The sequence below is a fragment of the Homo sapiens genome, chromosome 10 (assembly GCF_000001405.40).
Source record: "Homo sapiens chromosome 10, GRCh38.p14 Primary Assembly".
NCBI classification, from domain to species: domain Eukaryota; kingdom Metazoa; phylum Chordata; class Mammalia; order Primates; family Hominidae; genus Homo; species Homo sapiens.
The window spans coordinates 58,531,057-58,556,183 of NC_000010.11; the positions used below are offsets into that span (position 1 = coordinate 58,531,057).

The 25,127-nt window shown below is 35.4% G+C and overlaps 1 protein-coding gene across 9 annotated transcripts in view, besides 1 other annotated feature; it reads left to right on the top strand.

Moving 5' to 3' along the window:
• Positions 1 to 25,127, top strand: part of BICC1 (BicC family RNA binding protein 1) — a 319,216-nt gene that overhangs the window by 18,837 nt on the left and 275,252 nt on the right. The gene's annotated exons all lie outside the window — the stretch shown is intronic.
• Positions 296 to 355: a silencer, noted in NCBI's record as "silent region_2380". NCBI's record gives its function as "represses an Ori minimal core promoter by ATAC-STARR-seq in GM12878 lymphoblastoid cells {active_cell/tissue: GM12878}" and the evidence as "EXISTENCE:reporter gene assay evidence [ECO:0000049][PMID:35858748]".

Consider the following 25,127-nt stretch of genomic DNA (forward strand, 5'->3'; position numbering starts at 1 on the left):
GATGAGGAAAAAAAGTCCAGTGACTGGTTTCTCCCTTGGGAGAAAAAGAGTAAAATGGAATTATGTCCAATGTGCTGGCTTTTTGAGACTACTCAAGTGACTGGTTTCTGCCTTGCTTGACTTGGAGTGCTGATGAGGAATAGGCATACTTTGATTGCCTGGGGACTGCTGAGAACAAGAGAGCTCAGCGGTTGGTGGCAGTACCAAAATACCCGTAGTACTGCAAACAGACACCAGAGGGTGCAAGAGACTGTAGACTCCTGAAAAAGAAACCAGAAAACTTTGTCTGGTTGTGAAATTACACACATAGGCTCAGAAAAAATTCATCTCTGTAAAAGGTTTGAGAGACCGCCAGAATCTCTAGCTGGGCTGATTGGTGAAGATCTTTTTCCATCCAAAACCAGTCTGTAAAGACTGGAAGAGGTGACCGTTTATTCAAATACAAAAATTACAACAAAATATAAGGCACACAAACAGGGAAAATATGGTCCAATCAGAAGAACAAAATAACTGTCCGTAAACTGACCCAAAAGAAATGGAGATCTGTGAATTACCTGACAAATAGTTTAAAAGGAACATTTTAAATTAGTGCACTACAAGAAAACATATACAATGAAACTGTGAATAAAATGAGAATATCAATTAAGAGATGGAAACTGTAAAGATCCAAACAGGAATTCTAAATAACTAAACAGGAATTCTGAAGCTGAAGAATACAGTAACTGATTTGAAAAAAAAAATTATAGGGGATCAACAGCAGACTTTATTAAGCAAGAGAAAGAATCAGCAAACTCAAAGACAGGTCATTTGAAATTATTGAGTCAGAGGAACAAAAAGAAAAAGGAAAAATGAAGAAAGCCTAAGGGACTTATGGGGCGCCATCAAGTGAATCAATATATGCATTACATGAATTTCAGAAGAGGAATATAGAGGAAATGAGGGACAGAATATTTTTCAAACTACAATAGCCAAAACCTTCCAAATGTGAAAAAGGAAATAGATATCCAAATATAAGAAGCTCAAAGGACTACAGTCATGATGAAACTAAAGAAATTCACACTAAGACACATTCTAGTCAACTTTCCAAAAACAAAAATCTTAAGGGCAACAGGAGAAAGGCAATGTGGTATATACAGAGACTTTCCATAAGAATATCACACATTTCTCAGTGGAAGCATCGCAGGACAGAGTGGAATGAGATTATATGAGGGATCTTCAAAAAGTTTGTGGACGGTATGTATTATGAAAAAAAAAACTATGCATGGATTTCAAACTTTTTTTTGGCACTAAAATAAATTCCTGCTGATTTGGGTAAGACATCAATTTGAAAAGAGTCCCTATCCAGAGCAACATGTATTCTGCTATTACTGAGGCAAGAACAAATACCAAATTTATGGTGAAGCATGGTGGAAGAATGGTGAAATTATTGATACTTTACAAAAAATTTATGGGAATAGTACACCAAAGAAATCAGCTGCTTCCAAATGGATAATTCATTTTAAGAAGGGACGAGATGATGATGAAGATGAGGCCCATGGCAGCAGACCATCCACATCAATTTATGAGAAAAAAATTCATCTTATTCATGCCTAACTGAAGAGGGCCAACAATTCACAGAAGAAGCAATGGCCAAACACCATAGGCATCTCAGTTGGTTTAGCTTACACAATTCTGACTAAAAAATCAAAGTTGAACAAATTTTCCACTCAATGGGTGCCAAAACTGTTGTGCTAAGATTAGCTGCACACAAGAGCTTTCAGTGAAAAATTCAAACAATTGGCATTGAGATCCTAAAGCATTTCTCGAAAGAATTGTAACAGCAGATGAAACATGGTTTTGCCAGTACAATCCTGAAGACAAAGCACAATCAAAGCAATGGCTACCAAGAGGGGCACATGGTGAAGAGCAAAAGTCATGGCAATAGTTTTATGAGATATTCAAGGCATTTTGCTTGTTAACTTTCTGGAGGGTCAAAAGAAAATAACATCTGCCTCCGTCCCAAAAAGAAAAATAAAAAAGAAAATAACATCTGGTTATTATGAGAGTGTTTTGAGAAACCCAAAGCTTTAGAAGAAAAACGTCTGGGAAAGCTTCATCAGCGAGTTGTTCTCTGCCATGGCAGTGCTTCTGCTCGTTCCTCTCATCAAACAAGGACAAATTTTAAATAATTTCCATGGGGAATCATTAGGCATCCACCTTACAATTGTGATTTATTCCTTTTGACTTCTTTTTGTCTTCTAATTTAAAAACATCTTTAAAGGGTATCCATTTTTCTTCACTTAATAATGTAAAAAAGACTGCATTGACATGGCTAAGTTCCTAGGACCCCCACTTTTTTAGTGATGTACTAAATGGTTGATACAATCACTTACAAGAGTACTGGAACTTTTTGGAGCTTATGACAAGAAATAAAGTTCATATTTTTAATTTTTATCTTTTAATTCAATTTTCCATGAAAGTTTTGATGTCCCCTCATCCATACAGAGTGCTGAAGGAAAAAAAAACCTGACAATCAAGAATAGTATATATGGCAAGACTTTTAAAAGTGAAGAATAAATAAAGACCTTTCTGGATAAACAAAAGGCGAGGAATTAATTACCATTATGCCTGCCTTATAAGAATTGTTAAAGGGAGTTTTTCAGGTTGAAACAAAGGGATACTAAACAGTAACATGAAAGGATATGGAAATATAAAGCTCTCTGGTGAAATACCCATGGTAGATGCACCAGAAAAAATGAGAAAGAAAGAAAAGCATGTCACTACAGAAGAATCAATGAAATAGAAAGGCAGCAAGAGCCGCAAAGGGGGACAAAATTACTACTAGCCATACAGAACACAATTAAATGATAATAGTAAGTTCTTACCTATCAGTAATTACTTTAAATGTAAATTGATTAAATTCCCCAGTCAAAAGACATACAGTGGCTGAATGGATTAAAAAAGAACAAGATCCAACTATATGCTGTCTACAAGACACTTTAGATATAAGGACATACTCGGGCTGAAAGTAAAAGGAGGGAAAAAAGATATTCCATGCAAATGGTAACCCAAAGAGATCAGAGGTGTTCATGTTTATATCAGACAAAAATAGACTTTATAGAAAATAGGTAAAGGAGGGCATTAAGTCTCCCCTTACCCAAGATAGCAGATTGGAGGTATTGCTAGCATGCCTCTCCCACTTAGACAAAGTAGTGTGTAGAAATTAATGCTCTGAACTTTTTTTTCAAGAAGCAACATAGGAACTAAACAGAAAAACTGAAAGGAACTACAGACCCTTTGAAAGAAGCAGTGGGCGGCAGCCTATACTGTGAACCAGACTGAAAACCCCCACAGGAAACACTGAACCTGCTCAACACCAAGCATATCACTACTACAACGAGCATCTGAGAAAAACATCACACAAAGATTCTCTATAACCAAGAAACTTATACAGAGTCTTCACCACTGAAAGCACCTAGAGCCAAAGCTAGGTGACAATAAATTATAAACATTAAAGTCATACCCTCAAGGGGAATAAAAGAAATAAAAACCCCAGTTAAATGAAAAATAAATTCAAAAATAATGAGAAGAAATAGTCTACCCAAATGAGAAGGAACCAGAAAAATAATTCTGGCAATATGAAAAAACAGGGTTCTGTAACACCTCCCAAAAAACACACTAACTCTCCAGCAGTGGATTCAAACCAAGATTAAATCTTTGAAACACCAGATAAAAATTCAAAAGGTTGATTATTAATTTACTCAAGGAGATACAAGATAAAGGTAAAAACCAACACAAATTAAAAAAAAATTAGGATATCAATGAAAAATTTTTTTTTAAAGAGATAGATTTTTAAAAGAAAACCAATCAGAACTTCCAGAAATGAAAGACACACTTAGGGTACTACAAAATGCAGTGGAAAGTGTTAATAATACACTAGATTAAGTAGAAGAAACAATTTCAGAGCTTGAAGACAAGGCTTTCAAATTAACCCAATCAGACAAAAATAAAGAAAAAAGATTTAGAAGAAACAAAGTCTCCAAGAAATATGGGATTATGCAAAACAGACAAAGAATTATAGGTTTTCCTGAGGGAGAGGAAAAAACAAAAAATTTGGAAAACCTATTTGAGGGAATAATTGAGGAAAACTTCCCTGTCCTTGCTAAAAATTTAGACATCCAAATAAAAGAAGCTCAAAGAAGTCCTGGAAGACTCATTACAAAAAGGACGTCACCAAAGAACATAGTCATCAGATTATCTAAAGTCAATGTGAAGGAAATAATTCTAAGAACAGCGAGACAAAAGCATCAGGTAACCTATTAAGGAAAACCTAGCAGACTAACAGCAGACTTCTCAGCAGAACAAACCAGAAGAGATTGGGGTCATTTTTTAGTCTTCTTAAACAGAATAACTGTCAGGCAAGAATTTTGTATCCAGCAAAACTAAGTTTCATAAATGAAGGAGAAATAACGTCTTTCTCAGACAAGCAAATGCTGAGGGAATTTGTCAATACTAGACCAATGTTACAAGAAATGCTAAAAGGAGTTCTAAATCTTGAAAGAAAAGATTGATACACACCAGGATAGAAACCTCTGAAAACATAAAATTCACACGGCTTATAAAACAATAACACAGTGAAGAAAAGAAAGTATCTAGGTAACAATCAACATTATGACTGGAATAGTATCTCACAATACTAACATTGAATGGAGATGGTCTAAGTGCTCCATTAAAAGATACAGATTGGCAAAATGAATAAAATCGTCACAAACCAAATATCTGCTGTCTTCAGGAGACACATCTAACACAAGGATTCTTATAGACCCAAGGGAAAAGGGTGGAAAAAGATATTTCATGCAATCAGAAACCAAAAGCAAGCAGGAGGAACTATTCTTATATCAGATAAAACAGACATTAAGGCAACAATAGTAAAAAAAAAAAAGACAAGGTCATTATACAATGATAAAAGGATCCAATTCATGAAGAAGATAAAATAATTCTAAATATATATGCACCTAACTCCAGAGCTCCCAGATTCGTAAAGCAACTACCACTAGACCTAAGAACAGAGATAGACAGAAACACAATAATAGTAGAGGGCTTTCACTCCACTGGCAGCACTAGACAGAGCACTGAGGCAGAAAGTCAACAAAGAAATACTGGACTCTAGAACAAACTGACCTAAGAGATATTTACAGAACATTCTACTCAAGAACTACCCAAGAACTGCAGAATATACATTCTTCTTATCAGCACATGGAACATTCTCCAAAATAGATCATATGTAAGCTGCAAAACAAATCTCAATAAATTTTTTAAAAATTGAAATCACATCAACCATATTCTCAGACCACAGCAGAATAAAATCAATTCCAAGAGTAATCCTCAAAACTGTATAAATACATGGAAGTTAATCTGTTCCTGAGTGATTTTTGGGTTAACAATGAAATCAAGATGAAAATTGAAAAATTTCTGAAATGATTGATAACAATGACACAAGTTCTCAGAACCTCTAGGACACAGCAAAAGCAGTGTTAAGAGGCGTTTATAGCACTAAATACCTACATCAAAAAATCTGCAAGGTTACAAATTGACAAGCTAATGTCATGCCTCAGGGAACTAGAAAAAGAACAAACCAAACTCAAAGCTAGCAGAAGAAAAATAACAAAGATCAGGGCAGAATGAAATGAAATTGAAAAGACAGTACAAAAATCAATGAAACAAAAGCTAGTTATTTGGAAAGATAAACAAAACTGATACACTACTAGCTAGATTAACCAAGAAAAGAAGAGAAAAGATTCAGATAAGCTCAATTAGAAGTGAAAATGGAGACATTACAACTGACACCTCAGAAATATAAAAGACTATTTGAGATTACTATGAGCACCTCTATGCACACAAGCTAGAAAATCTAGCGGAAATGGATAAATTCCCGGAAACATACGACACCCTAGCTTGAGTCAGGAAGAAATAGAAATCCTAAACAGACCAATAACAGGCTGTCAGATTGAATCAGGTAAACAAACAAACAAACCAAAAAAACAAACCTGTCAACAAAAAAAGCCCAGGGCATATGGATTCAAGCCGAATTCTACTAGACATTAAAAGCAGAACTGGAATCAATTCTACTGAACTATTCCACAAGATTGAGAAGGAGGGAAACCTCCCTACCTCATTCGACCCAGTCAGTATCATCCTGATACCAAAGCCAAGAAAGAACCTAGCAAAATAAGAAAACTACAGACCAATATCCCTGTTGTATATAGATGCAAAAATCCTCAACAAAATACTAGAAATGGAATGAACTAGAACAAAAAAAAAAATCATGATGAAGTGGGTTTTATTCCGACTTTTTCTTTCTCAATAGGTGCAGAAAAAGCATTTGATAAAATCTGGTATCCCTTTATGATAAAAATTCTCAACAAACTAGTTATAGATGAAACATACCTCAAAATAATAAAAGCCATCTATGACAGATTCACAGCTAACATAATACTGAAAGGGGAGAACTTGAAAGAATTCCCCCTAAGAATGGGAACAAGACAAGGATGCCCACTTTCACCACTTCTATTCAGTATAATACCGGAAGTCCTAGCCAGAGCAATCAGGCAAGAGAAATAAAGGGCATCCAAACTGGAAAAGAGGAAGTCAAACTTATGTCTATTTGCTGATGATGTGATCATATACCTAGAAAACCCTGACTCCTCCAAAGAATCCTAGATCTGATAAATGAATCCAGTAAAGTCTCAGGTTACAAAATTAATATACATAAATCAGTAGCAATGCTATATGCACTGAGAACCAAGCTGAGTATGAAATTGAGAACTCAATTCCTTTTACAATAGTTATACAAAAATATTTAGGAATATATATAACCAAGGAAGTGAAACATCTGTACAAGGAGAACTACAAAATACTGCTAAATAAATCACAGGTGACACAAACAAATGGAAATACACCTTATGCTCATGGATTGGAAGAATCAATATCGTGAAAATGACCATACTGCCCAAAGCAATTTACAGATTCAATGTAATTCCTATCAAAATAACCAACATCGTTTTTTCAGATAATTAGAAAAAAAATCATAAAATTCACATGGAACCAAAATAGAGCCCAAATAGCCAAAGCAATCCTAAGCAAAAAGAACAAATCTGAAGGTGACATCACATTACCTAACTTCAAAATACACTACAGGGCTATAGTTACCAAAACAGTATGGTACTGGTAAAAAAGTAGTTACATAGACCGTGGAACAAAATAGAGAACCAAGAAATAAAGCCGAATACTTACAACCAACTGATCTTTGGCAAAGCGTACAAAAACATAAATTGGGGAAAGGACATCCCATTAAATAAATGGTGATGGGAAAATTGAATAGCCACATGTAGAAGAATGAAACTGGATTCCTACCTGTCACCATATACAAAAATTAAGATAGATTAAAGACTTAAATCTAAGACCTGAAACCATGAAAATTCTAGAAGAAAAACTTTTCTGGACATTGGCCTAAGCAAAGAATTTATGAATAAGACATCAAAAGCAAATGCAGCAAAAGCAAAAATAAATAAATGGGACCTAATTAAACAAAAGCTTCTGCACAGCAAAAGAAATAACCATTAAATAGACAACCTACAGAATGAGAGAAAAAATCTGCGAATTTTGCATCTGACAACATACACGGAACTCAAATCACTAAGAAAAAACAAATAATCCCATTAAAGAGTGGGCAAAGGACATGAATAGACAGTTTTCAAAGGATGATTTGCAAATGGCCAACAAACATGCAGAAATGCTCAACATCACTAATCATCAGGGAAATGCAAGTTAAAACGCAACAAGATACTACTGTACCCCAGCCAGAATGACCATTATTAAAAATTCAAATAACAATAGATGTTGGCATGGACAGGGTGAAAAAGGAACACTTATACACTGCTGGTTGGAAAGTAAATTAGTATAACTTCTATAGAATACAGTATGGAGATTTGATCCATGAATTCCACTACTGAGTATCTACCCAATGGAAAGGAAATCAATATATAAAAAAGACATATTTATCACAGCACAGTTCACAATTGTAATGATACGGAATCAACCTAAATACCCATCAACCAAAGAGTAGATAAAGAAAATGTGGCATATGTATATTGTAGAATACTACTCAGCCATAAAAAAGAATGAAATAATGTCTTTTGCAGCAACTGGGATGGAACTGGAGGCTATTATTCTAAGTGAAGTAATTCTGGAATCAAAATCTAAATCCAACATGTTCTCATTTACAGGTGGTTTCTAAGCTTATGGATATGCAAGGGCATACAGAGTGGTATAATGTACATTGGAGACTCAGAAGGCTGGCAAGCAGGAGAGAGGTGAGAGATGAAAAAGTACCTATTGGATATAGTGTTCAGGTGGTGGGTGCACTAAAATTCTAGACTTCTCCATGGTACCGTTCATCCATGTAACCAAAAAATCACTCATACCCCTAAAGCTACTGAAATAAAAAAAAATTTTTGAAGTACATTATGTAATGATGAAAGGGCCAATTCACCAGGAAGGTATGACAATGATAAATGTACATGTACTTTACAGCAGAACACAAAAAATATATAAGGCAAACATGGACAAAATTGAAGGGAGAAATAGTAACATAATAATAATAGAATATTTCAGTGCCCCACTTTTAATAACCAGACAGAATATTAGTAGAGAAACAGAGCACTTGAATAATGCTATAGACCAATTGGACCTAACAGATACATACAGAACACTGCACACCAAAACAGCAGAATAGATAGTCTTTTCAAGTGCACTAGGAGCATTCTTCAGGATATATCACATGGTAGGCCACAAAACTAGTATTAAGAGAAGATTGAAGTCATATCAAGTATCTTTTTAGACCATATTGTAATAAAACTAGAAATCAGTAGCACAAGAAAAACTAGAAAATTCACAAATATGTGGAAATTAAACAACACACTCTTGAATAATCAGTGGATCAAAGATGAAATCATGGGAAATTAGAAAATATATTGAAAAATGAATATGAAAACACAACATAGCACAACACATAAGATGCAGCAAAAGCAGTAGTAAGAGGGAAGTTTATAGCAGTAAACATCCATATTAAGAAAATCTCCAATCAACAACCTAACTTTATACTTAAGGGGACTAGAAAAGGAAGAACAAGCTAAACCCAAAGTTAGCAGAAGGAAGGGAGGAATAAAAATTAGAGTCCAAATAAATGAAATAGATAATAGAAAAAGAGTAAAAAAAAAAGGCTATGAAACTAAGAGTTGGTTTCTTAAAAAGATCAACAAAATCAACAGTTCCATATTTAGCTAGAATAAGAAGAAAACAAAGACTCAAATAACAAAAATCAGAAAAGAAAGAAGAGACATTACAACTGATGCCACAGAAATGTAAAGTATCATAATAGAGTACTATGAACAATTATACACCAACAAATTATATAACCTTGAAGAAATGCATACATTTCCAGAAATGTACAATCAAGACCAAATTATGAAGAAATAAAATATCTGAGTGGACATATACTGGTAAGGAGATTGAATCAGCAATCAGAAGCCTCCTGACAAAAGCCCAGGACCAGATGGCTTCACTGGAGAATGCTTCTAAACAATTAAATAAGAATTAACACCAGTCCTTCTCAAACTCTTCCAGAAAACTGTAGAGGAGGAAACGCTTGCAAACTCATTCTACAAGGTCAACATTACTCTGATACCAAAACCAGGATATGCAAAAATCCTCAACAAAATTTTAGCAAACTGAATTCAACACCACATTGAAAGAGTGGTGCATTATGACCAAGTGGGATTTATTACTGAAATGCAAGTATGGTCCAGCATATAAAAATCAAGGTAATACTGATATGTTAACAGAATGAAGGAAATGTAACACATGATCATCTCAATTGATGCAGAAGAAGCATTTGAGAAAGTCATACACCCTTTCATGACAAAACACTAACCAAACAAGGAATAGAAGGAAATTACCTCAATGAAATAAAGGGCCATGTGTGAAAAGCCCACAACTGACATCATACTCAGTGGTGAAAACTGAATCCTTTCTCTTTAAGATGATGCACAAGGGAAGGATTCCTTTTCTCACCACTTCTATTCAACATTGTATTAAAAATTTTACCCAGACCAAGCAGGCAAGAAAAACAAAAAGCATCCAAATAGGAAAGGAATAAATATAATGATCTTTTCATAGGTGACATGATCTTGTACGTAGAAAACCCTAATGATTCCACACACACACATAAAACTGCTAGAACTAATAAACAAATTTAGCAAAGTTGCAGGACACAAAATCAACACACAAAAGTCAGTTACATTTCTATACTCAGCAATGACCAATCTGAAAAGGCAGTTGAGGAAACAATCACATTTACAGTAGCATCAAAAAGAATAAAATACTTAGGAATAAACTTTACCAATGAGGCGAAACACTTCTACACTGAAAACTACAAAACATTGCAGAAAAAATTGCAGAAAACACAACTAAATGGAAAGACCTTCTGTGTTCATGGTTTGGAATCCTTAATATTTTGTTAAAGTATCTCTATTACCCAAACCAATCTACAGATTCAATATAAGCCCTATTGAAATAGCAGTGTTATTTTTTGCAGAAATAGAAAAAAAAATTCTAAAATTCATATGGAATCTCAGAGGACCCAGAAAAGCCAAAAAAGTCTTGAGAAAAGAAAAACAAAGCTCGAAACCTCGTATGTCCTGACTTAAAAACATATTACAAATCCATAGCAATCAAAATATTATGGTAGTGGAATAAAGACAGACAGACATATAAGCCCAGTGTGGTGGCTCACACCTGTAATCGCAGCACTTTGGAAGGCAGAGGTGGGCAGATCGTTTGAGATCAGGAGTTTGAGACCAGCCTGGGCAACATGGCAAAACCCTGTTTCTACAAAAAATAACAAAAGTTATCCAGGTGTAGTGATGTGTGCCTTTGGTCCTAGCTAATCTGGAGGCTAAGGTGGGAGAATTGCTTGAGTCCGGGAAGTTGAGGCAGCAGAGAGCTGTGATCACGCCACTGCACTCCAGCCCAGGTGACAGAGCAAGACCCTGTCTCAAAAAAAAAAAAAAAACAAAAAAAAAAACCCAGACATACAGACTAGTGGAACAGAATAGAGAATCGAGAAATAAATCCTCGCCTATATAGTCAAATGATTTTTGACAAAGATGCCAAGGCTACTAGTAGGGAAAGGACAATCTCTTCAACAGATGATGTTGGAAAAACTGGATATTGGCATGCAGAAGAATGGTATAACCTTATACCAGATTAAAAAAAATTAAATGGATTAAGACCTAAATGTAATACCTGAAATTATTAAGCTCCTAGAAGAAAACAGGGGAAAAGCTTCATGACATTGGGTTTGGCAATGATTTTGTGGATTTAACACAAAAAGCACAGGCACCAGAAGCAAAAATAGACAAATAGGACATCAGACCTAAAAACTTTTGTGCAGCAAAGGAAAATCAACAGAGTGAAAAGGCAGTCTACGTAATGGGAGAAAATAATTGCAAACCATATATCTCATAACGGGTACATAACCAATATATGTAAAGAACTTCTGTAACTCAATAACAAACATCAAAATTTAAAAATGGGCAAAGGACTCGAATATATCAAAGAAGATATACAGTTAGCCAACAAACATGAAAATATAAACATCGGCATGAAAAGATCAACATCAAGTAATTGTTAAGGAAATGTAACTCAAAACCACAAGAGGTATCACCTTGCACTCATTAGGATGGCCATTATTAAAAAAAAACAAACTGAAAAAAACAAGTGTTGGTTAGGATCTGGAGAAATTGCAATCCTTTTGCACTGTTGGTGGGAATGTAAAGTGATGCCACTAGGGAAAATGATATAGAGGCTCCTCAAAAAATTAAAACCAAAATTACCGTATAATTCAGCAATCTCACTTCTGGGTTTATATACAAGGAATTGAAAACAGGACCCCATGGAGATATGTGCACACCCATTTGCATTGCAGCATTATTTCCAGTAGCTAAGAGGTGGAAACAACCTAAATGTTAATCAGCAGAGACAGGGATAAAAAAATGTGATATAGACATACAATGGAATATTGCTCAGGATTAAAAAAAGGAAATCCTGTCATATGCTACAACATAGATAAACCTGGAGGTCATCATGCTAACTTAAATAAACCAGTCACAGACACATACCACATGATTCCACTTACATGAGGTATCTAAAATAGCCATACTCTTAGAAACAGAAAGTAGAATGGGTAGTTACCAAGGGATAGGGATGAAGAAAGGGAGAGTTGTTTAGTGGTTATAGAGTTTTGGTTTTGCAAGATAAGGAAGTTCTGTGTTTCTTTTTTACAACAATGTGCATGTAGTCAACACTATTGTAATGTACACTGAAAAATGGTTAAAATGGTAAATTTTGTTACTCCTCCCATCCCACTTTTTTAGACAGGGTCTGGCTCCTGTCACCTAGGCTAGAGTGCAGTGGTGTGATCATAGCTCACTGCAACCTTGAACTCCTGGGCTCAAGCAGTACTCCTGCCTAAGCCTCCCCAATAGCTAGGACTATGGTTATGTGCCACTAGGCTCAGCTAATTTTTTTAGGTTTTGTAGAGACAGTCTTGCCATGTTGCCCAGGCTAGTGTTGAACTTCTGGCCTCAAGCGATCCTCCTGTCTCGGCCTCTCAAAGCACTGGGATTACAGGGTGTGAACCACTATGCCTGGCCTATGTTTTTTTTTTTAACCATAATTAAAAAAAAAAAAAAAAGAAACCACCTGTCTGCATTCTGATATTTTACCTGATAGGACAAATTTGCCTTAGGTAAACCTTTATAAACAGGCATGATCTTTTAGAAACTACTCAAACGTTTTAAAAGGAAGAGCAAGAGCAAGTGTCAGTTATGACACTTGAAGAGTCATAACTGGTTACCTTTGTTACAGTTTAAAAAAGGTAGCACTTTCTGTGTTTCACAGGGTGAATGCCTTCATCCATTGGAACCTGAACCATGAGTATTTCCTTCTGAGACTTTCATCAAACTAAGTCTGCATGAAGCCTGAGTCCTGTGGTAACTGGAACCTCATAATAGCATTTACATTTGGTGTTAAAATGCACCCAACAGGAAAAAGGATTCAGTTATTTTCAAGCTTCCAAATTCCAAATGTGCTGAATAGACATTTCCTTTAAAAAATAAATATACAAAATGGATTTGTGTGACTTGAAGTTTAAAAGAAATGTTCTTGCATGCCATAGTTAAGAATTGTAACAATATCACATTCTCAAGTTTACTTATTTTAAAAGTAGACTGTCATGGTTTGGCTCAGCTACTAAATTAAATTATTGCTGGCTTGAACATTCCTGTTGGTTACACTGTAATCTTTACCTCCCTTGGAAAATATGTCCGATTTTGAGTGTTTATTTCAGACTTGGCTTGAAACACCTCTGTTTAGCAGTGAAGTATGGATATATATGTGTGATCTGTGTTACGTATGTAGAAAGGAAAGAAATAGAAAAAAGTTTTACATTGTGTGTTACAAATACACACTAACAGGAATACATATATACATACATATATGCAACTAGAACCATGCTTATCAAGGATCAAGATAATATAACTATACTGAATTAATAGACATGCATACATACATACATGTGTATCCATTAACATGTTATTACAGGTTGAATTGTGTCTCCCTTTCCCCCAAAATCAGATGTTGACATTTTCACCTCTGGGAGCTCATTTGGAGATAGGGCTTTTGCGGCGGTAATCAAGTTAAAGCAAGATCATTAGGTTGGGTTCTAATCTAATATGACTGGTATTCTTATTAACAAGGGGAACTTTGGATACAGAGATATGCATAGAAGGAAGACAGTGTGAAGAGACACAGAGAAAAGACAGCTATCTACAAGCCAATGAGAGAGACATGGAACTCATCTTTCTCTCATACCCCTCAAAAGGAACCAACCCTGTCAACACCTTGCTTTTGTATTTACTGCTTCCAGAAATTGTGAGACAATAAATTTATATTGTTTAAGCCACCTAGTTGGTGGTACTTCATTACAGCAGCACTAGCAACTAATACAAGGTATTTCTCTATTATGCTAAGAATTCAGGATATACTCATTTAGATAGGATACACGATTAGTCTTTACATGTTTTAACTTTTCATAGTATCTCCTAAGCACTCTAAGAAACTAGTTTCCCTAAAAATAAAGAAAAAAGGAAAAAAAGAAATTAGTTTCTCAAGTTTGCAAAATTAAGAAATTAGTTTCTCAGTTTTGCAAATTGAGAAATTAACGTTGACTGTGATGATGAAGCAGTTAGATTTGGAAAGTGGATCCTACTTTACATAAATAATAATCAGACTTTTTCTTTTATTCAGGAGTCTGTGAGTTTGTGTAATTTGTAGTGATAGTATCAGAGTTTACCAGAGGCCTAATGGATTGGAAAGTCAGAATCAGAACAAGCAAATCTACCCTCATCCAGCACCAGAATTAAAAGTTCTCAAAATTGCGCACATGGGAATTAAATTTCTCCACATTAGAAACAGATGCCTTCAAATAACTGATTTTTCCATTGCCCCAACGTGTAAGTGCCTTTTTATTGTGCTCATTTTGTCATCAGTAGAAGGACGCTTGAGTTCAGTACTTGGAAGAGTGGAAGGGTGCAGTATTCCTTGGGCCCTGTCCCTTTACGTTTCATGGTATGCCAGGGATGTCTGTGTTTACTACCTCCAACCAATGCAAGAACATACCTGAACAACCCAAACTCCTGACTGGGGCTAATTGGAGTTAGTGACAGAGAAGAACACTATTTTACAGTGTTGGGTATTTTTGTTGTTGCTCTGGAGGTTGGGAGGGATTAGTCTTTGTCAGGAGATAGGATTTAGCAGAATATATCTATTTATATCTTGTTTTATCTATTACATCTCCATCCTATTGACTTCTTTCCTGAACCGGAATTAAGCAATGAATGCTGTTTGGGCATTTTTAGTGTGGCTGTTCATTATTACCTGGATAATTCAGAGTACTTCTAGGTCATGACATAAAAATGCTGTTATTTGTATTAGCTTACAGATACTGTTGGTCTGTCTCCAATGTTGTTGTTTTTCAAATTCCAGGAGTAACAGGATGGAAGGTTGCAGAGCTCTAAGTAATAAGTAAAGTGGCCTGGGATACTGAACATAGGGAGTGGTGGAGATTGAGGCAAACTAGACAGATAGCTATGCCTTGTTTAAAGGGGCTGCCTGTGTTGTATTACATCTGGTTGTTGTCCTGTGAAAATGCAGGCCAGATGTGGCCAAATCTTCCTGTTTTTCAAACCAAGTGGTAGAAATTTGAATTTTTACAAGCAGTCTCCCAATTTTTATTGTGACAACTAGTTCAGATTACGAAAAATATTTATGGGCCAAGTAAAATACCACCTGTTTTCAGCCTCTAGTGTAGGATATATGAAGCCAGCTTGTTCTTCAGGTAGCAGGTGGTGCTTACAGGTCATCTCTACTGAGGCATCGTTGGTGAAGTCCTCTAAGACTCAGCTCTGGGATCCTCTGTAGTGAATGGCTCTCATAGTTGCAGGAAAAACCCAGGTCCAAATGACACCCACAGTTGACCACAGTTTTACCTAATTAAGTAAAAAACTTTTTTTAAAAAAATAATTTATTTTGTTATCCTGTTACCAGTACTTTCAAATACTTAAGAAAAAAATCAATATTAAAGTATCAGTTTTGCAATCCAGAGGATATTTGTACTTTTTCAAAAAAATTTAAAAATTAGAAAAAAGATAACATATTGGCCTCCTGCCTTTTAAATATTTAAGGGATGAATCAGACTTTCAGATGTGCTTAAATTGGTACCTAGAGACCTAATGGAGGTTTCTTATTTTCTTCACTGGTAAGATTTTGTCATTCATTCCAGTAGATACTTTTAAGCAACCTTTTTATTTTAGAGCAGCTTTAGAGATAAAGTTATGAATATAGTACAGCGAGTCCCCCTATACGCCAAACCCAGTTTCCCCTTATTATTACCATCTTATATTAATTAATGAGCCAGTAATGATGCATTGTTATGAACTACAGTCCATACTTTATTCAGATTTCCTTAGTGTTTACCTGCTGTTCTTTTTCTATTCTGGGACTCTATCCAGAATATCACATTGCATTCATTGTCATGTCTCCCTTGGCTCCTCTTGGCTGTGACAGTTTCTCAGACTCCTCTTGCTTTTGATGATTTTGACAGTTTTGAGAAGTATTCCATAAAACATCCCTTAGTTGGGATCTGTCTGATGTTTTTTTCTCATGATTATGTATTTTTGGGGAGGAAGTCTAAAGAGGTAAAGTACCATTCTCCTCATATTAAGGGTGTACACTATTGTGTCAGCATCATGTTTTACTGTTGATGTGAATCTTGATCACCTGGCTGAGGTGGTAGTCATCAGGTTCCTCCATTGTAATGGTATTGAAGGCACTGCGTGCAGCCCATGTGTGAGTAGGAGTCATGCTGCACTTCTGTGAGAGGAGAGTATCTACATCAACTATTCGGAATTCTTCTGCATAAGAGATTGGTCTCTTCTCTGTGTATACATGCATGCATGTATGTATGTCAGTATGGATATTTATTTATTTTATACTTTGGATTATAATCTAATACTTGTTTATTTCATTGATCAGACTGTTGTAGCTTTGGCCATGGAAGCTCTTTCAGTTGGCTACTGTGTCCCTTTGATATACCCCCACTGTTGCATTGTTGTTGTTTTTGAGTACTTTCTTAATTTCTGGCACTACAAGATGCTCATGCACATCTTGTATATTCCCTGCTCCAGTGCTAGAATCAATGATTTTTTCCAAGGAGCCCTGGTTTCTTTTATTGGAGACTGTTACTAGAAACCAAGATCTGCTATGCTCATTGCTACTGGGATGTGTTGCTTCTAGGCTCTTTCAGCTGACAGAGCAAGGAAATATGTTGTGTATAATAATCTGTGTATGTTCACATATTTATAAATATTTGTATTTGTGTCTGTCTATATTAAGCCAAATATGTGTTTATACTGATGACTTCAACTCTTAATCTGTTACCACATGGCTCATTGGAGTTTTCTCTCATTGCTTCTCTGTAAACTGTCATTCAAACACTGAGAGATCTGGCTCCCAAGAGCCACGATCCATTTGCATTGTTCAACTCCAGTATACAGTATAATAGTGATTTTAGAATTCCTAACTAAATACCCTGTGAGAAACAGTTTTATCCACAGAGCTTATGCACAGTGCCTTTTGCCTTTAGTCTTACCTACTCCACTTATTTGTAAGGATGCTCAGGTCAGCATCTTTCCCATTCCATCACTGAGTGTATTTTATACATTTGCTAGATTCTTTCACCACAGCCTGCATTCCATCTTGGATTCTCCAACCTCCCAAATGATTTTTTACAATTTGCATACATTAAGGTTAGCTCTGTATTTTGTGGGTTTTGAAATTTACAATGTCATGTATCCCCCATTAGAATATCAAAGAGAATACTTTCATATCCTAAAAATCCAATGTGCTATATTTATTCAACCCTCACCCCTTCCGAAACCCCTGGCAATGATTGACCTATTTACTGTCACTGTAGTTTTGCCTTTTTCAGAATGTCACACAAATGTCATATAGTACATAATCTTTTCCTTGGCTCAACATCATATTTATGTATATGCATATAAGAGTTATCTATGTTGTTGTGTTTTTGGGGAGGGGAGGGGACAGGGTCGTGCTCTGTCACATAGGCCCTTGTTTTTGTTTTAGTTTACTTTGGGGTGTGTGTGTGTCAGGGTTTCCCTCTGTCACCCAGGCTGGAGTGCAGTGGTGCGATCATGGCTCACTGCAGCCTCAACTTCCTGGGCTCAGGTGATTTTTCCACCTCAGCCTCCTGAGTAGCTGGGACCACACACCTGGCCAACGTTTATATTTTTTGTGGAGACAGGGTTTTGCCATGTTGCTCAGGCTGGTCTCAAACTCCTAGACTCAAGCAATCTGCCCATCTTGGCCTCCCAAAGTGCTGGGACTACAGGCATGAGCCACCTCCCTCAGCCAGTTTTTTTTTTTCTCCTATGAATAGTATTCTATTATATGGATGACAACAGTTCGTTTATACACTCACCTGTTGAGATTGTTTCCAGCTCTTGACCAGTATAAATAAGACTTCTATAAACATTCTCATGCAGGTGTTTATGTTGACATAAAATTTCAAAGGAGCACAATTGCTATATTATATGATAGAGACTGTGTTTAGCTTTTTAAGACACTGCCAAACTGTATTCCAAAATTTGGAATGGTATACAGCTTTTGCATTCACTCCAACAATGAATTGAGAGCTCCTGTTTCTCTGCATCCTAGTCAACGTTTGGTATTGTCAGTTTTTAAAATTTTCGCCATTTTAATAGATGTCTAGTAGTATCTCATCATTTTAATTTGTATTTCCCTAATGAGATAATGATGTTGAGCATCTTTTCGTATGCTTATTTGTCATCTATGTATCTTCTTTGGTGAGGAGTCTGTTCAGATTTTTTTTTTTTGGCCCTTTTTTTTGTTGTTGTTATTGTTGAGTTTCAAGAATTGTTTGTTTGTTTGTTTTTTTCTTTTTTTTTTTTGAGATGAAGTCTCACTCTGTTGTCCAGGCTGGAGTGCAATGGTGTGATCTCGGCTCACTGCAACCTCCGCTTCCTGAGTTCAAGCGATTCTCCTGTCTCAGCCTCCTGAGTAGCTGGGATTACAGATGTGCACCATTGTGCCCGGCTAATTTTTTTGTATTTTTAGTAGAGACGGGTTTTTACCATGTTGCCCAGACTGGTCTTGAACACCTTTACCTCAGGTGATCCACCTGCCTCGGCCTCCCAAAGTGCTGGGATTACAAGTGTGAGCCACTGTGCCCAGCTTAGTTTCAAGAATTCTTTGTATATTTTAATTATTTATTTAGTTTGGAGACAGGGTCTTGCTCTATCACCTTGACTGGGGTGCAGTAGCATGATCATGGCTCAAAGCAGCCTCAAAATCCTGGGCTCAAGTAATCCTCCACCTCAGCCTTCTGAGTAGCTGGGACTACAGGCAGTGCCACCATACTCTACTAATATTTTATTTTCAAATATTTTTGTAGAGACGGGGTTTTGCTATGTTGACCAGGCTGGTCTCAAACTTCTGACCTCAAGCAGTCCTCCCACCTCAGTCTCCTAAAGTGCTAGGGCTACAGGCATGAGTCTCCCTGCCCCGCTGTATATTTTATATACAACTTCTTTATCAGACATGTTTTCTAAATATTTTCTCCGAATCTTTGGTTTGTCATTTCATTCTCTTAATAGTGTCTTTCACAGAGTAGAGTTTGAATTTTATTAAGTCCAATTTATCTATCTTCTTTCATAAATAATGTTTTTTTGTATTGTATCTAAAAACTCATCACTAAACCCAAGGTCATGTAGATTTTCTCCTATGTGTTCATCTAGAAATTTTACTGTTTTGCATTTTATGTCTAGGTTTATGATTCATTTTGCATTGTTTGTAAAATATAAGGTCCAAGTCCAGGTTCATTTAATTTTTTTCTTGGTGTATGAATATACAATTATTCTAGCATCATTTGTTGAAAAGACTATGCTTTTTTCATTGAATCGCCTTTCTGTGTTTTTCATAAATCAGTTGACTACATTGTATGGGTTGATTTCTGGGGTCTGTGTCTTGTTCCATTGACCAATGCATCTATTCTTTCTGCCAATTCTACAGTTTGGATGGAGTTTGATTTTAATTGGTATTAATTTTTATTTGGGGTTTGAGAAAGAGGTTCTCATTCAATTTTATGACAGTGCTTGTGTGTTTGGGTGTTTTTAAGATATTAGACATTTTATCTCCTTCATCTTGTCATCAGCTTTTAACATTCCACATCCTGTTTGTTTTTAAGTGACATTGAGAATGCACGTCTCTGATCTTCCTTCACATCTCAGTACTAGTAAATACAACCTCTTTCTGACATATGATATACTTGTTTCCTTTTTATCTGTTCCCCTGATCCTTCACTATTTCATAAAAGTTCATAAAAGCAGGGCTTTTAAAATTTGTTGTTCACTGCTGTATCCCCTTTACCTAGGACTTGCCTGGCATCTGGTAAGATCTCAATGAAGTAATGTGAACTAGATTAATGAAATATGAGGTCTCACATTTATAACATCTTTGAACAAGAGGTTATTATACAAAGGTGAATTTGCTAAATGGCTGAACTTTATACCTTTAAGCTGCAAAACTTTTATTATTTATTTACTTTTAAATTGACATAAAAATTTAATATGTTCATGGTATATACAACATGATGTTTTGATATATGTACATATTGTGGAATAGCTCAAATGAGCTAATTAACATATCCATTACCTTACATACTTAATTTTTGTGTGTGTGGTGAACACATTTAAAATCTGTTTTCTTCTCAGTAGTTTTCAAGTATACAGTACATTGTTATTAACTGTAGTCACAATGTGTACAGATCTCTTGAACTTACTTTTCTTGTCTGTGTGAAATTTTGTATCCTTTGACCAACATCTTCCTAATTCCACACCTCTCCTTCCCACCCAGCCCCTGGTAACCATCATTCTACTATTTGTTTCTGTGAGTTTGACTTTTTTAGATTTCGCATATAAGTGAGATCATACATAATTTCTCTTTCTCTGACCTTAGGACTTTTATGACTTCTGACCTCTAAAACTGTAAGACAATAAATTTGTGCTGTTTTAAGTTGCTAAGTTTGTATTATTTTGTTACAGCAGCATTAGGAAAGTAATACAGATGTTTAGTGCAAGGAACACCATGCAAGTTAATTTTAGAAATTAGTCTTCTGAAATGTTTATAAAATATATAAAGACAAGTTTTTTTTGGGGGGGGATAGACTCTCCCTTCTTTTTTTAGCTTTTTCTTTAATGAACATCAAGCAGATTTTAATGCTCATTTTGTGTGCTAACACTTCTTTGTCATTTTCAAGGGTAGCTTTTTGGAACTTTGTCAATAGAGTACAAAAATGTAAAAAAAACCAGTCTACTGGGTCTGGATGGGAAAGAGTTCACTCTTCATGTGTTAAGAGTCTTAACTTCTTGGTTACCTACAGTGTTTGAGGGGAATGGTGACTTATAGAACTAAAAACATTGAATAACTTATGTTTTACTATACAGATTTATAGTTGCACAAATCTGTAGTTGATATTTTCAAACTGTAATTACATTTTATTCTTATTTCTTTTTTTATTATTTTATTTATTTATTTATTTTTGAGATGGAGTCTTGCACTGTCACGCAGGCTGGAGTGCAGTGGTGTGATCTTGGCTCACTGCAAGCTCCGCCTCCCGGGTTCATGCCATTCTCCTGCCTCAGCCTCCTGAGTAGCTGGGACTACAGGTGCCCGCCACCACACCCAGCTAATTTTTTGTATTTTTAGAAGAGATGGGGTTTCACCGTGTTAGCCAGGATGGTCTCCATCTCCTGACCTTGTGATCCACCCGCCTCGGCGTCCCAAAGTTCTGGGATTACAGGTTATTCTTATTTCTTAAACACACCGTAGTGAACTTTTTTGTTTGTGCTATGTCATATAGTATTTTGACCAGAAATAAGGAAATTGAGTTAAAGTCCTGTTTCTGAAACTATCTAGCCAAGTGATCTTAGGAAAGTTATAATTTCTCTAGGTCTCAGTTGAACACTAGATTGGTGGTGAGATATCTTCAGATCTCAACAGTCTCTAAAATTCTGATTGATATTGACTGTATTCCTTGTGACGTTTTTTAAACAGGGCTTTCCTCACAATGATATTAAAGTATGTAGAACATTCCACGTAGGCATGGGCTTTCAGACAGATATATAATATTTTAGTTATTATTTTAAAGAAATTTTTATTCATCTGCCTTTGTTGCTAAGTGTTCCTGTGTTTATATATTTTTTCCTACTGAATTGTAGTTTTGTTCTTTTGTCTTTCCCTTTAAATTGACCCCCATAGGGCTTGTTCATCCCTATAATCTGTTAATAGACTCTCTCAATAAATGTATGACAGATGTAGTGGTGGAGAGAAGACAGACCTCCCAAAGATGTCCATATTCAAATCCCTGGAACTTGTGACTGTGTTACCATGGCAAGGGGAATTAGGTTGCAGATGGCTTTAAGGTTACCAATCAGCTGTCCTTAAAGAGGTTAGCCTGGGTTATCCAGGTGGGCCTAATGCAATCACATTGGCAGTAAGTGAAAGAGGGAGGCAAAGGAGTTAGAGTCAGAGGAATTCAATGTGAGAGCAACTTGATTGGAATTGTTGGACTTCAAGATGGAAGGAAGCTGCAAGGAATGTCGGCAGCCTCTAGAAGCTCCAAAAGTCAAGGAGACAGATTATCCTCTAGAGTTTCCAGTAGGATTGCAGTCCATCAACACCTGGATTTTAACCCAGTGAAATCCATTTTGGACTTCTGACCTCTGAAACTGTAAGACAATAAATTTGTGCTGTTTTAAGTTGCTAAGTTTGTATTATTTTGTTACAGCAGCATTAGGAAAGTAATACAGATGTTTAGTGCAAGGAACACCATGCAAGTTAATTTTAGAAATTAGTCTTCTGAAATGTTTATAAAATATATAAAGACAAGTTTTTTTTTCGGGGGGGCTAGACTCCCCCTTCTTTTTTTAGCTTTTTCTTTAATGAACATCAAGCAGATTTTAATGCTCATTTTGTGTGCTAACACTTCTTTGTCATTTTCAAGGGTAGCTTTTTGGAACTTTGTCAATAGAGTACAAAAATGTAAAAAAAACCAGTCTACTGGGTCTGGATGGGAAAGAGTTCACTCTTCATGTGTTAAGAGTCTTAACTTCTTGGTTACCTACAGTGTTTGAGGGGAATGGTGACTTATAGAACTAAAAACATTGAATAACTTATGTTTCAATTTATACTATTTGGATTCTGTAGAAGAAGAATTTTATTTAAAATAATGTTTTTGTTATGTTTATTTTAAATGATATTGAAAATGAATTACATTTTCTCAAGGTCATTTAAAATGAACTGATTCTTTATTGGGTGATAGGTGGAAGGCAGGAATTGATTGAATTCATACCTGTTAATCCCATATTAAATTCTTAAGGAGTTAGGAAGATCTGTGGTGGTTGTACTAATTCTACAGTTAAGGAAAGCTGAGAGTCAGAGAGGACAATTTAAGTGATGAGCTCTATTAGCTTATCTGTTTTATTGTCGAACCCTGAGCAGAACTTAGTCTCTGAACTTTAAATCCGGTCTTCTTTTCCTGTCTTGTAAGACAAAAATGGGAGAATTTCAGGCTTTTAAAATTGAACTTTAGTCAATGCTGTAGTTATGTAATTTTTATAAAGAGCCTACAATATATAGATTCTCTTATTAAACATGTTAGCCATTATAAACGCCTTAGGCAAACAGGCATTCTTATTTTATGGTTCAGTTTCTGAAGTTCCTACTCTTTTTTGTTGTTCTTCCTGTGATGTAAGTCAGGAGCAGTGGTTTTGGAAGAAAGTATAAAGAAGGTGCAAACATCAGAAAAAAAATGCTTGTGTGTTTACTAGAACAGCATTTGTATAATAAGAATTACTTTGTGTTTTTGATCCATGAAATATACACATTCATTATGGCTAAAAGGAAGGACCTAATTTAAACAATGTGATATCAATGTTGGTTTAATATCCTGATTTTTAAAGTCTTATATGACTTACATTTGATTTTTTTTTTTTTGCCTCTCTAGCCTTGTTAGAATTACATTTAATTTTGGTATAATAAATTCTGTTATATATACCTCCTTTTCTATTTTATATATTAATATTTTACTATTTTATTTTCTTGTAAGCTTAATTCTGTTTGTTTCTCTTTTGGCTCTGTGACTGATCAAGAACATATTAAATGTATAAAGTCTGAGCTTGTTATTTTAAATTTGTAATGTCCAGGTTTTGTTATAAATACCTTAGTGTCTTTCTTTAAAAAGAAAAAGAACAAGTAATAAGTAACTCACATAGTGGGGAGAGTAAAACCATTTTAGCTGAAATGGTTTAGATCTAGGATAATTATTTGGGGGAAAATACATTTTCGAGATTTTTTCATATTTTTGCTTGAATTACCTTTACTTTCAGTGCAAACTTCTGAAATTTGATGTAATGTACTCTTTATTCCTGTTGTAACAACCTCATAGATGTCAGGTTTTTATTTTACAGCTGAAGAGAATAGAGGCTGTTGGACATTTTTTTTTTTTTTTTTTTTTTTTTTTTAGGTGGCTGACCCTAGGACGTAAGCAGCAATACTAAATGTTGCAACTTGTGGTCCTATGTATTGTAACCTGTTGGAAGTAGAGTAATTAGTAGTACTGGTGGAAATCTTAAAAACATCAATATAAATAGGCAAAATTTCTTTTCTGATTATCAAGATCAAAAAAGGGAAGCTAAGGTCTAGGTGATGAGGTTCTCTATGTGAAGTCAGTTAATTTTCAATGAGCAGATCAGCGTTCTTATCTCTTCTCACAATAATGATTAGCAGTTCTTTGCAAAGGAAGTTTCAGTGAGTGCTTGAAAAATATGGGTCACTGAGGTCTGTCATGCGAAACTAAGTGTTGGCCTGGCATCTCTGGAACTCAAATGATGGCCAAGCAGGCTTGACTTCAGTGAAACAGGGTTTTAATGATTAAATGGAAATGGATGAAGTTGGTGAACAAATATAGTGACTTCAAAGCCTTTAACTTGGATTACTGGAGAATCAAGTGAAATATTTCACCACTGTGTTATCACTAAAGAGAATCAGTTCTGTGTGTGGTATTGGTTCTTTAAACATTATGTTCTACACTAAGGACCCGAACTGTCATTCCCAGTTAGATAGTGTTTGAATGGGAAGTAATGTTGAATTGTTTATTCTTAAAATTTTTTTTTATTTCCTTAATTATGGTTATTTAGATAATCCATCAATTATAGAATGAGAAGCCTATTTGTAAGATTGTGGAATTTCTAGTTTTCGAGTGTTGGGGGATAGTTAATATTATGACAAATTATTAACTTAGGGTGATTGCGAAAGTTATACCTCCTAGGTTGAGTTTAAAATGCTAGTCTCTTACTGTTGAATGTGAAACC